The 13,512-nt window shown below is 38.2% G+C and overlaps 1 protein-coding gene across 19 annotated transcripts in view; it reads left to right on the forward strand.

Moving 5' to 3' along the window:
* Window positions 1-13,512, forward strand: part of PLCB4 (phospholipase C beta 4) — a 412,131-nt gene that overhangs the window by 300,127 nt on the left and 98,492 nt on the right. For 17 of the 19 annotated variants that reach the window (XM_024451898.2, NM_001377134.2, XM_005260724.3 and 14 more), the window contains 4 exons: window positions 2,410-2,491; window positions 3,499-3,599; window positions 4,243-4,300; window positions 11,250-11,358. In XM_024451898.2, the coding sequence (XP_024307666.1) occupies window positions 2,410-2,491; window positions 3,499-3,599; window positions 4,243-4,300; window positions 11,250-11,358 (350 nt within the window). Of the gene's footprint in view, window positions 1-144; window positions 2,286-2,409; window positions 2,492-3,498; window positions 3,600-4,242; window positions 4,301-11,249; window positions 11,359-13,512 lie in introns of those variants that run through there. The other 2 variants (XM_011529254.3, XM_047440205.1) reach the window with 2 other exon arrangements.

Genomic DNA, 13,512 nt, shown 5'->3' on the forward strand with positions numbered 1-13,512 from the left:
ACTCTAATAGGACTGGACACAACTCAGGGGTGTTTGCTTTTGTAGCATTTCTTTTGGGGAATGGGGGTGGTTTAGTTTGATTCAACAAAAACTCATTGAGTACCAGTTAGCTATGAGGCACTAAGCTTATGTGAACATGGGGCTATATAGAGATTTGAGTAAATCACATTCCCTTTGTAAATGCTCTATGTTCCCATGAAACACAGCCACGATATTATCTCCCTTCTTGGCCCCCTCCATCTCCCTTCCCCTTGAGACATTCTTCTACTTTCTATTTGTTGGCACCTGGCCAAACCCTAGCCAAAAGATTCAATTTCTGTGTAGGAAACAGAAGCTATTGGTACCCAGGTTCTGTTTCACCAGAAAGGCTCAGTCTCCACACCCGCTGATTTCATGCCCACGTTGATCAGTTTTCATCTCGTTATGCCAGGCATGTCCAAACCTAACAGAGGCTTCAGTTAGCTGGGATACCCCTGAGATTGCTATGCAAAGATTGTTCTCCTGAGAGCAAATGCCAGATCCTGCCAGAGTCTTACTAGCTAGGTTAACACAAACTTTTTATGAAATAATAGTCACCCTGAACAGCTACTTTCCCCTAAATTAAAAAGGCTACAAAATTTTTGTCTTACCCCAAATTTAATGTATAAAAATTACCTGAACTCTAGAGATGAAAAATGTAAACATAGCACCCTCTATACTAGGAATCTTAACCATTTATTGATGTCACACACATATTCTCTCCCATATTTGTAGATTTGTTAAAGAGAATTCACAGGCCTCCTTATATTTGAATACAACTGTCTCAAGAACTCTTAAAAATGTACTTCTTGAAGTATTCTTGGACCTGGCATGAAACAATAAAGCTGTGAATGAACACATAATTCATTTACCTACAGCTACTTCTTAGTCTATTTTGGGAAGTCCTACTCTGCCACTGAAGTGGTGCTTTCTCCCACTCAGGAAGAGGAACTGTCAGCACTCTCATTCAGAACTTGCCTTCTACTTAGCACGGATGGCGGAAAGTACAAAAACGCTGGGCATGAGATGCTGTTAAAAATCCTTCTGTGCTCACAGGGGAGGCATTCCAAAGCCAGCCCTCATGGATAGAAGTAAAACTCCATCCTCAAGTCAAGCTGGACTTCTGAATGTCGAGTTAAAATGAAATTATCATGGTAACACATTACCTGGGCTTCCAATCAGGGAGCGATTGAAGGCTCCTTGGTGGCTAAGGTATGGCTCAGAGCCAAGTGTGGTGTTCCAGGGTACCAAGTCCTCTGCTCAATAGCTTTCATTCTGAGTGGCACCAACACATTTATAATGGAGAGTCTCTCCTAACTTTTATCATCACCAGGAAGTGTGTTCATCAAGGTGTTATCTATTCTACTAGCCTTGATGCTCACTGTTCTAGTTAAAAGGCTATCCAAAAATACTATGTCTTGGGGTACTACTGAGATTTGTTGAAACATTGGATAATTGTTCCCCTTCCCCCTCACCCAACCCATCATGTTGACAGTAAAGTCCCTTATCCTTGAGGCAGCTGACATTTCAGAGGGGCTCAAGGGTGCTTAGCTTGAAAACAAGAACAAAATATGTCTGATCACGCCCGTGTCAACTGTGGTTAAGTGTGGGAACCAGGATAAGGACAACTGAAGGCATGGATTGAGTTGTAAGGGGCCGCCTCCTTTTCCCTAGGCCCAGTTATTGTCAACATGAGGGTTTGTTCTAGAGCTACTGTCTTATCTGCCACATTCCTTTTTCATAAGAAGGCAATTTGGTAGCATCAGAATTTATCATTGTTTTTGTCCAAAAATGTGTGTCCCAGGCCAGGCGCTGTGGCTCATGCCTGTAATCCTAGCACTTTGGGAGGCCGAGGTGGGTGGATCACCTGAGGTCAGGAGTTTGAGACCAGCCTCACCAATATGATGAAACCCCGTCTCTACTAAAAATACAAAAAATTAGCCAGGTGTGGTGGCGTGCACCTGTAGTCCCAGCTACTTGGGAGGCTGAGGCGGGAGAATTGCTTGAACCTGGGATGCAGAGGTTGCAGTGAGCTGAGATAGCGCCACTGCACTCCAGCCTAGGTGACAGAGTGAGACTCTGTCTCAAAAAATAAAAAATAAAAAATAAATGTGTGTCCCTCCAGTGCCGCTTGCCCCTTGTTCTCCCAAGCACCAGGGGGACCCCTGGTCTTAGATTCAAGTTGCATCACTAGACTAACCAGCTCTGGGAACCAGAGGGACACTGGAGGAACTAGTTTGGGAAATGAAAAACATCTGCAATGAGAGGTAATTTTATTCTCCTCTTCCTTTTACCCTAGTCTCACTCTCCATAGTAGGACCTGGATCTTTGCATCAGAGAAAACATAATGAACAATAACTGGAATGTGTGTTTCTTTCTTTTCTGCCCTAGTATTACTAGAACATTTGCATCGGGAAAAACAGAAAAGGTGATCTTTCAAGCACTCAAGGAGTTAGGTCTTCCCAGTGGAAAGGTATGCATTAACTTAATAATGTATTTCTAAAACCATTTTGTTTATTTATCTTCTCATATGTAATGAGCTAGATTATTTATATTAAACTGATCTAAATTAGATTTGGAATTATATGTCAGTGACATATAGTACAGTTAATTTTCTTTTCTTTCTTCTTCCTCCCTCTCCCTTCCTCTCTCCCTCCCTCCTTTCCTTCCTCCCTTCCTTCCTTTTGTTGCCTGGGCATTTTAACCTAAATCTCTAAAAATGTAAATAGTTTGCTTCAAATGATTTTTGTCACCTTTCTTAAGAAAAGGAAATGAAGGCCAGCTTGCTGTGTTACACAGTTTTTATTTTAGAGAAGCTCACCAACACTGCCTCAACCAGGCACAACATTAGCATGAATAATTAACTAATAAATTCAATTCTACAAGATGGCTATGCAATATTTTGTGAAGCATCTCTCCCCGCACCATTTGTATTCATGGCCCTTCAAATTTAAAATAATTGAAATTAATTTATTGACTTGAAGAAAGATTGAAGCCTGGTACTATTTTAATAAGTCCTATTTGAAATATAAATTTCAGTTTGAAAAGTAAAATCTTACATGGTTACCCTAAGCCCGTTCACATGGTCTTGCAAAAATTCACAAAATAAGCATAATTAAACCTTGGGCTTGATTTATTCAGCATCCCTCAGGCAGGCACTTTTCTCCCTCAAGGTGAGTTGGAGGAAATATTTATATTCGTTCTTTGGGGTATTTCCCAGAGCAAGGCCAGCTGTAGCCAGGTGTTCGCACACACAGAATCTGGCAGCATGATAACTAGAAACACTGATGTACACGCACTGTTTTTTAGTGAGATGGCCTGGCAGTGCCTGGAAGTTGGCCTCCTGGCTTCTGTCAGCAGGAATCAGAGATGAAGACCCTGAGTCCAAGTGGTCTTCACTGTGCTTCATGACCCTGTAGCTTCTCACCCTCCAAGGGAAAAACGGTTCTGTGATTCATAACATGATTTTATTCCTTACAGAATGATGAAATTGAGCCCACAGCATTTTCTTATGAAAAGTTCTATGAACTGACACAAAAGATTTGTCCTCGGACAGATATAGAAGATCTTTTCAAAAAAATGTAAGTTCCACTTATGAGGAAGTGCCATATAAATATTATCACTGTCCTTTTCGATTTTTTAAAACGTTTTTGTCCTATTTTAATAGAGTATGTTGGTAGCATCTAGGAATATCTAGTCAGGGTTACATTTTTAACCCCATACTTTATCAGTGTAAAAGTTCACTCTGAGTTTTTGAGAAACTTTTACGTATATTAATTGCAGCACCTGGAACTTTTTTTTGCATTGGCTTTACTAACTACCTACAATTTTAACCTGCTCCTTTAGGTATTAACCCATTATGTGAACTAACTAGATTCAATTTGGAATGTTAATATGTTTTTGAAAAGTTGATTCATTCCAATTATTTCAAATGGATGACTTACATGTTGTTTTTGAAATAATATCTTTTGAAAACGGTAAAAAAAAAAAAAAATTGCAGACTTTTTCTGTGACCTAGTGGGAGTGTTTTCCTTCTGTTGTTGTTGTTGTTGTTGTTTTATTTTTCTCCCTTTATGAACAGTCTCTGGCCATTTTAAGAATTCACCACTACTTCAGGGTTAGAAAATAAGTTTAGAATTATCATCAACAAATGTCAACATGTAAATCGTACATACTGTAGCATCATATACAAAAACTTACTTTTTCTAATAAATTTCTTTTCAGCAATGGAGACAAAACTGATTATTTAACGGTAGACCAATTAGTGAGCTTTCTAAATGAAGTAAGCTTTTTCATACATTAACTCCATAAAGTCTGTGTGCAGTGGCTTGCCTTCTCTGGTGTCCTCATTGCATGCCTGCATCATATGCCCTTATTCGCTTTGCTTCTGACCTGCTGATCTTTCCATTATGGCTTTACCAGGTGCAAAAATCAGCTGCCGCCCTGTGTGTTCATGTGCTTTCTTCACATTGGCTTTGCACACCACTTTTTGTTGGTTTCTGGCTGTTACATGTAGCTCTGGTTCTGTGTGTATGTGTGAATTGTATAATATATTCATTTAAGTAAATGTGTCTGTGTTTTTGCAAGATGATATTTAAGGTACTTTTTTTCTATTGATCTCATTAAATAGAAAGAGAATGGATTGAGTTTACTACACTGTAGTTGGATTCTCCATTGCTAACTTTATCTCATACCTTTGCATGGACTGGAAAGCTTTATTTTTGTCTTTTAATGGATTGCATGTAAGAAAAATATGTTGGCTCAAATAGAATATTTTGACAACAAGCAAAACACTTGAGTTCCTGGGTGAAAATACATTGAGTTTTAGGCTAATAGGATTGCAGGTTAAATTTGTACTTTTTCTTTTTATAACAAGCTCAGAGCTAATTTTAGAATGTGATTAACTTAACAACCAAAACTGATAGATAGAATTGCTTAAGCACAAGAGAAAAATATTTTCGAACAAAAAAAGTTTGCAACTTTTATTACAACTAAAATGAACTACTTTTTTCTTCACACATACAAAAAAAGTTTTCCCTTCAGTGAAACCCATCAAGACTCTTGTTAATCCAAAATGGAAAATTCACTTTTTTTTCTAACACATTAATAAGAGTTTGAGTGAAGGATGGACAGTATGCTTTTGTTTCAAAATAATTTAAGTTAATCATTATACCATATAAAGAGAAAATGCAAGAAAAGATGGTATCATGCCAGATAAAACGTATTATCTTAAGAAAAGATAAAAAGGCAGACCTTAATTTGCCACTTCATAGAGACAAATTACATCTTCTTTTCTTCCGTTGTGAAGGTTCAGTGGCTTCAAATTTATAAAGGTCGCACTTTAGAAACTATGTTAACTAAAGTGTAAATGCACTGATGCAAGAAAGAGAAAATCCTACCCCACATATCAGACAGATGCCTCTAAAATAATCCTTCGTGTACAATACAATGTTTATTTTACTCGAAAACATTTCAAATTTTTCCACTCCACTGGTTTTTAGTCATATAAATACAATGTTCATAATCTTTACCCAGATACTATCCACGTTCTTATGCCACAGCTGCTCAGAAGTTAAATTGCTTTGTTTTGTTTCTTTAACCCCTTCCCCTTCTTCTGCCTTTTGTTTTTTGGTTTCTTGTTTTGTTTTGTTTTATATCCCTTGGCTTCTTCATGCACTTTGGTTCAGTGATCATCTTAGGTTTGGTGAGGTGAAGAGGGAAGACGGTTTAGTGTAAAGGAGAAAATCTACCACATCTTCAGTTTGCCACTTCCAAGACAAGGCCTCTTGTGTTCTTTGGGATGAAGCCCTCTCTTAAACATTACAGAGACCTTAATACTGCATTTCACTGTTAAAGAATGAAGCAACTCTTAGGTCTTGAGGATAAGTGCAGTATTTATAGGCTCTTATCTAATGCATTTCCTTTTATGGGTTGTTTTTGTTGGTGCTCCCAACAGTCACTCCTGTAATTCTTAGACATAACATTTAATTTTTTAAAAATATCATCATCCATACTTTCTTGTTCTGCCATTCAGATTCTTTCTTTAAGTATTTATTATTTGTCAACCTTTTATCCCTCACAATTACAGTAGACAATAGTATTCTTTTTTTTAATAGTGTTTCCTTCTATTTGATGTCTTCTTAACATTAAGGAAGTACCTTAAATTTTGGGGTGTGACTGATGGAATCGGTGTGATTCTAGATTTCTTTAGGTCATAGGAACTGTAAGACTACTCAGGAAAGTCTATAGCCTTTATTTTTAATCCAAGTGTCTGCCCTGAATTTATTCCTTTTCTATCCTAGTGAACTCAACTGGAAGAACTAGACAAAAACATGAATGTCGGCTTGAAGAAGCCTTGTCAAACATAGAGAACATTCTGCCTGTTCCTTGCACTCCCTCTTTTGAGTCCTACCCTGGCCCCTCTTATCTCTCCAAAATCAAAAACACCCCTTGGGCAGAACAACTTCAATACTCATAACAAAAGGAGACAGACAGAGCTCACTCAAGAAAGAATGGGCATTGGAATGTAAGGGTCAATTACTCCAAGAGTTTAAACCTAAACATTTTCAAAATGCCTTAGCCACATAGTCTCAACAAGCCAGTATTCAACACTGCATTGGAAGCCCCTGTGAAGGTTCCTTGTGAAGGTTCAATGGCTTCAAATTTATAAAGCTTGCACTTTAGAAACTCTGTTAACTGAAGTGTAAATGCACTGATGCAAGAAAGAGCAAGTACTACCCCACATATCAGACAGATGCCTCTACTTTTAAATAATCCTTTGAGTATGATACGATGTTTATTTTACTTGAAAATATTTCAAGTTTTTCCACTCCACTGGTTCATATAATGAGACAAAAAAATAAACAAGTCCCATGAACACTGGAAAGGACAAGGTCCTAGTCTCATTTGCAGATGTTGATTGTCTACTCTGATATAAACAATTCCACGGAAAAACTGTTTGAAGTAATTAGAGAGTTCAGCAAGGTAACCAGAGAAACAATGAGCAAAGCAAAAACCTGGAGACACACATACACTGCCATTAACCAGGTAGAATAGATAGTAGGAAAACATAAATCCCATTTATATTAGCAAAAGACATGCTGGTTCCTACCACCTTCCAGCTGGTTAATCCTTTCACTCTTTCTATGAAAGTTTTTATTCATATACTAATGTGTATCTTCAGGGGGCTGCAAGGAGAGGAGAGACTATATATATAGTCCATTTACTGCTTTGGTCACCCTGTAGGGTGACCTCCTCCCTATCCATGCAATCAACACTGACTAGATTTTCAGTAGTAGCTTTAGACCTGACTCCTCATTGGCTTCTCAGTATTTCCTTGTTCGTTGCTCCCCAAAGTGTGATCCATGGACCAGCAGCATCGGCACCCCTTGGGAGCTTATTAGAAATGCTCAGTCTTGGGTCCCACCCAGACCTGCTGAGTCAGAGTCTGAATTTAACAAGATCTCCAGGTGATTTATCTGCACATTCAAGTTTGTAAAGCACCATCCTAGTGGATTACTGGATTCCTCCTTGGAATGTTTAGTGTGAGTGGGAAGAATATGAGAGCGACATATACCTTCTGTTATTCTCCATTAAGAATTTAGCCATAGGAATCCACCACTCAGAGCTAAAATTTTGCCACATCTATGTCTCTTAGTCTCATCCAATGGACTGAGGGAAATCTTCTTTGCCTATAATATGAAAATAGCAAACTAGAGTCCAGGAGGGATAGCAGAGGCACTTAATGTGAGCTGCCACGTGGTGAGACACTACTACTGGCTCAATTGCTTGTATGTGGCAAGACTAGATAAAACCTCTTGGCTTTGGTTAGTTTTACCTCCCTTTCCCTATTCCTAATGAGAAGCAAAATTGATTTTTAGTTTTACCTTCATTCTTTGTTTGACTTCTTACAAAGATGATAACTAGGGTCCTGCAGAATTGGGAGATGGGTGGAGGGCAGGAGAGAGGGATAAAAACAAGGAAGAGAGGGAAAAGGCCTTAGGTGGCCACAGGAATCAAGGAGTAGCTTTACTTTCTTGTTGCTGGTAATCTTCCCCCTTCCTCACACATATCATAGGATCACATCAGGGCTCAACCTGACTTTTTTCTTTTTGCAGATGAAAGAATATTTTAAAAGGACCCATGATCTCTTTCCTTTTACAAGATCTTTATGCTTTAAATGCACAGGCAAAGAGAGAGAAGGAGGGTATTTAGTCTTATGAGTAAGCTTATCCTTGCCAATTATTCCTTCTATATTTTTAAAATATTATTTATGTCAACATTCATCTCTCCCAGTGCTACTTGGATTGAAGCCAGACGATGCCTCTTCTCAGCACCAGTAAGGACGTAATACTGGAGTTCTCTTCATCTCCTCCTTACTTACTTGGACACAGTTCTGTGACCTATTTTTGGAAGTCATTTAGAATCTCATTTTACAAAGCACTGGATACCATGGGGTGAATAACCTGAGTAACTTGTTTCCCCAAATCCTGGCTGAAAACTGATGGTTCCTCAGAGATGTGAAACATTCACCTCACTGTGCTTGTGTCTCTGTGGAACTCTACTGCAGCCTTATTACTGTGAGATCAGCTGGAAGTGATCCTTCTCCTCTTGTTTTTCCATATGAAAATGATAGTTTTCTGACTCTAATGCAAATCTTATATTTGTTTCCTTGCCTTTGGATTACCCAGATTGATTTGTGTTACCTTTTTGAAGCATGAAGATTTTAGGGAGAGCTGAAGATTGTTATCTAGTGGGAGCAGAAGCAAAAACAAATGCAATTTCGCATTGTCTGCACTTCATGCTTATTTGCTGCGAATGTAATTTTCAGAATAGGGGATTATGATACATCCATTTTAGGGCTTGGTTTTCCTGGCTTTGTTTTGCCATAGGCAGGATGGTCTAATGAATGTCATACCCTCTGACTAAATTTTAATAGTGTTTAATTGGGAGGACATCTGAAACACTGAACATGCTTCTATCCTTGTGAGACTTAGGTACTTTTCTTTTTACTGATGTGCAAATATGTTAAAATGCATACCTTTATATGTTAGGTAAAGTGATTCTTATACTTGAGCACATCAGAATTACTCAGAAGTCTTATGAAAAACACAGATTAATAGGTTCCACCCCAGAGATCAGCAGATTCAGTAGATCTAGGGAGGGACCTGAGAAGCTGCATTTCTAGCAAGTTGACAGGTGTTGGTGAGGCTGATGCTGCCATCCACAGATCACACTTCAGGTAGTACCTTGTCAGAATAAACACATGTATGTATATTTTAAAATGCACAAAAATGTCTGAGTTCTGTCTCCTTTCCTAATTTTATCTCTTCTCTCTCCTGTAGCTGAATCCCTTTTTTCTCTCATTTTTTAATTCATATGGATTTGCCTCATCATCTCCATGAGTTCAAAATATTTACCAACAAACATATTTTTAAATTTAAAAAACTTAATTTTAATAAGGAAGATAAATAAAGTGGCCACCTATGAACATAACAGTGCTGGGGTCTAAAAAGGACCTTTTTCATCCTTTATCCATCTTCTACCATGATATTATTTATGGAGATGTGAGAAGGGATGTGCCTAGAAAGATGGGTTTGTTGTTGTTGTCAGTTTGTTTGTTTTTAAAACAATGCATTCTCACCAGAAAGACGGAGCTCCTTGTTTCCTTGAGTAGTGGGCTCCATTGCACGATGGCATCAATTTCCTAAACAAGGTGTAGCATGCCTTCACTTGCCTGGCATTCCATGGTCCACCTCACAATCCTCTTCCCTGCATATCCCATAACTTTTGTTCTTGGTGGCCTCGAGGCCTGCTGTTAACATAACAGTTTCTGTTGTAGCATATGCATGAATGTTAGCTGTTGTGAGCCATAATTTCTTAGATTACAACAGAAGCATGCTTCATTGGGATAAATTGATGAAATTTGATATTGATTCCTTATGAGTTAATGCTCTTAACTCGGTGGGGGAGGAGGGGACCCAGAAAAGGCTGGGCCCCATATGCATGAGGAAATGACATCCAAGTGCTCTGTTGGCCAAAAGCATTCATTCTGTGTATAGCTCACTTTTCCAATGCCCATTCCAAAGCAAATAGGGAAGGGAAATCCATATGAACTTTTAACAGTTGCTTTTTAAATACCTTTCCAACAATGTTTTTCAGTCCGTGCATATATTTGGGTAAAGAGTTGTCACCAAGGTCCTATTTATTGACCAGGTTTTGCTCACACCTGCTTATCTGTCATTATTCCAAACTTCCATTGAGGTTTGCTTTATTTATTCACTTATTCATTATTTTTGTAAGGGCTGACCAGGGACACAGTGCTGTCCTCTAATCCTCAGTGAACAGAAAGGAAGTTTAGTGGACCCACTGCCAACACACATACACACACAAACACACACTATTGGAGCTGAGTAAGTTAGTAAACTGGGTTTTTCATCATTGCCATGAAGTTAGGATGATACCATTGCAGGGACAGCATTGCTCCTGGTGCCTCATGTCATAGCAGGAGCTCCTTAGGTGTCAATTTGAAAACAATAATGTCACCAACCTCTTAAGTCCCGTAATCATTCATGGACTCTCTGCCCAGAGAATTCTATATTGTTTATAGCTTGTAAATATGCTTGTACTGATTAATTTTCATCATTACAATTGGTTCGTTTTGAAAAAAATAGTTACTCAAGAAAATGAAATTTGTTGAGTGCCCAAGAAATCATGGATTGATGTAGAAAGGTGTTATGAAAAAGAGATGATGTTTGCCTGTGTAACATTAGGCTTTTTGTTGTTATTGCTTTTGGGGTTTTTGAGGGGTGCACTTAAATTAGTATATTACCTATTTGAACTATTTTGGGGGGTTGGTGTTTGCTTTTTAAAAATATTTTGACCTCACGTTTTATAGATATTCATGCCAAATGTCTTCCCTGTTGTGTGGGAACTGGAAGACAGTACAATTGACATGCACACTTTATTATGTATCCTTCAACTTTTGAAGGGGAAAAAATGTATTCTCTCTCTCTCTCTAGTTCAGGGAGAGTAACCCAAAAGTATTCCCAAATGTGGACTTTTTGAAGTATACTTTAAGGAGAAAGGCAGGAAGGCAGTGAGGTCCTATCTTTGTAATTATAAACATGACAGTCTAGATATATTTTGTTTTATAAATTATAAACTTAGTAATGTCTAATGCCTCAAGGCCAAGAAATATCAACCTAAATGGAGTTATTTTCTTATCATAGCATCAACGAGATCCTCGATTGAATGAAATTTTATTTCCATTTTATGATGCCAAAAGGGCAATGCAGATCATTGAGATGTATGAACCTGATGAAGATTTGAAGAAAAAAGGTAATAAACATGAAAAAAGGACTTAAAAAAAAAAACAAGAAAAGATGCAACTTTTAAAGCCTTGGTTTATTTAAAGGTATCTGTAAATGCTTTGCAACTCCCTGAGCCATGGATTGATGACTATTTTTTTTTCCTGCTCTTAAGTTCGTATAAATTTTACCTTTCATCAGAATTAGTCAATCCTGACTGAAGTATACTGTTACATTTATTGTATTATTAAATACATTATAGTGATGTTTCCCCATGTACTTTCTTGTATTAGATTTTAGTATTGCATATTGCTTGAAATATTAAAACAACCAATACAGTCTCTACTTGCAATCCTTGAAAATAATTTTTGTCATATAAAAACTTATACCTTTTCTTTTTCTCCCTTTTGTTTTGCCAAGCCAAATAAATTTAATACGTGATTTGATGTGCAGTAACCCTCATTTGACCTCTGGTATGAAAGATAAATACAATTGATATGAAATTAAATAGTCAGGAATCGCCTTAGCTAATTGCTGGACCTTTGTCCCTTTCAAAGAAGCTTTGGAAACAAAGGGTTGTTCGCACAAATATTTGTCAAAGGAAAGGCATGGGGAGAAATTTTAAAATCAGTCCCACAGCAGTGAGAAATGCCTGCGGAACATGGGAGGGAGAGCTGGGGGTACCTGAGCTAGAGCCTTTGGCGTTATGTCTCAGTGGAGAATGTAAAGAGATGAAAGTTCAAGTTCCATAGGTCCCGTATGTCCGTGAATCTCAAGGTCTCAGTTTCCTCCTTTTTAAAATCTATTTTTTTCTTTGTATCTAATGCCAGTGAGTGTGGTTGAATGGTCTGTATGTTATCTGGACCCTCTTTTTAGGTATACCTGGCCCTCTACACTCCATGATTTCACCCCTGATATTTTTCCAAGCCCAATAGTTTTCCCTTTAGTTGTAGTTGTACAGTTTACACTTTCTGCTATGGCTGAAGATACCTATTTTAAGCAAGAATGCTTCATTCCTTCCCTCTCTGTCAATATTCTGAATATCATAATTTATTTCACATTGCTTATGATTACAGCAAAGGGAGGTACAGCTTGGTAGAAAATCTAACACTTCGCATTGGCAGGAGGTGATATGATTCTTGTCACTTCCCTGTGACCTTGAGCTAGGAACTGGCCTCCTGGGCCTCAGTTTCCCTGCTTGTAAGGTGGTGGGGCTCATGCAGTAATTTGGCTAGTATTTCCCTTCCCTACCTTCATTCTTTGAAGTTTGTAGAGGGCTGACCGGGTGCCAAGCACTGTGCCAGATGCTAGGAATTCAAAACAATAAGAAATGTCCCCAGCCTTGAAGGCAGTTGCGATCTGTTCAAGGAGAAAGACAAGTGATTCAACAATTCCTTGGCAGTGTGATAAATGTCATGATTGAGGTGTGTCCTTGTTTATTTCCAAATTCCTTCTAAGTTTTAAAGGTCTATGAAGTGACCATTGACACATCTAAAAAGGGTAGCTTGACCATTTCACAAGTGATGGAAATTTTAACGTCTGTCATTTTCAAGTGTGGGTGAGAATGGAGTACAAAGCCATTCTTATAAACTTCTGGTAAGACCCTACATTGGTACAACCATCTTGGGGAATATTTTGGCAATAGTTTATAAAGTGAAAAATATGCCTCTTATACAGCCCAGCATTTTCACTTCTAGGTATGTACCCTAGAGAATCTCTCATCTATTTCCCAAACTCTGGATACCAGAGCGGCACAGTTCTCAGATCTCTGCTCCACCTATATTCACTCTGTACCTGAGCTCATCCAAGCCAATGGCTTTACATTTCTTCTATTAAACTCTCCAGTCCTAACCTCCAGCTTACACTACAGACTTGTAGTAGAACTCTCCATCTGGATGTTGAATGGGCATTTCCAATGTATATATACAACATATTTCGATCCTTCCTACCCCTAGATATGTTCCTTTCAAAGCCTATAAAATAGTACCGTTATTTACCCAGTCAAAACCACTGGGCTCATGTTGGACTTGTTTCATTCTTTCACATCATGTCTGGTTCATTTGCAAAACCTGTAAGATCCAGCCTCAAAAGAAATCCTAAATAAATCACTTCTCACCATCTCCAACATTACTGACTATCCAAACCTTCATCATCCCTCTCCAGGCAATGCCTTCTCCTTCCTACT

This window comes from Homo sapiens, chromosome 20, assembly GCF_000001405.40.
Source record: "Homo sapiens chromosome 20, GRCh38.p14 Primary Assembly".
In the NCBI taxonomy this organism is placed as follows: Eukaryota; Metazoa; Chordata; class Mammalia; order Primates; family Hominidae; genus Homo; species Homo sapiens.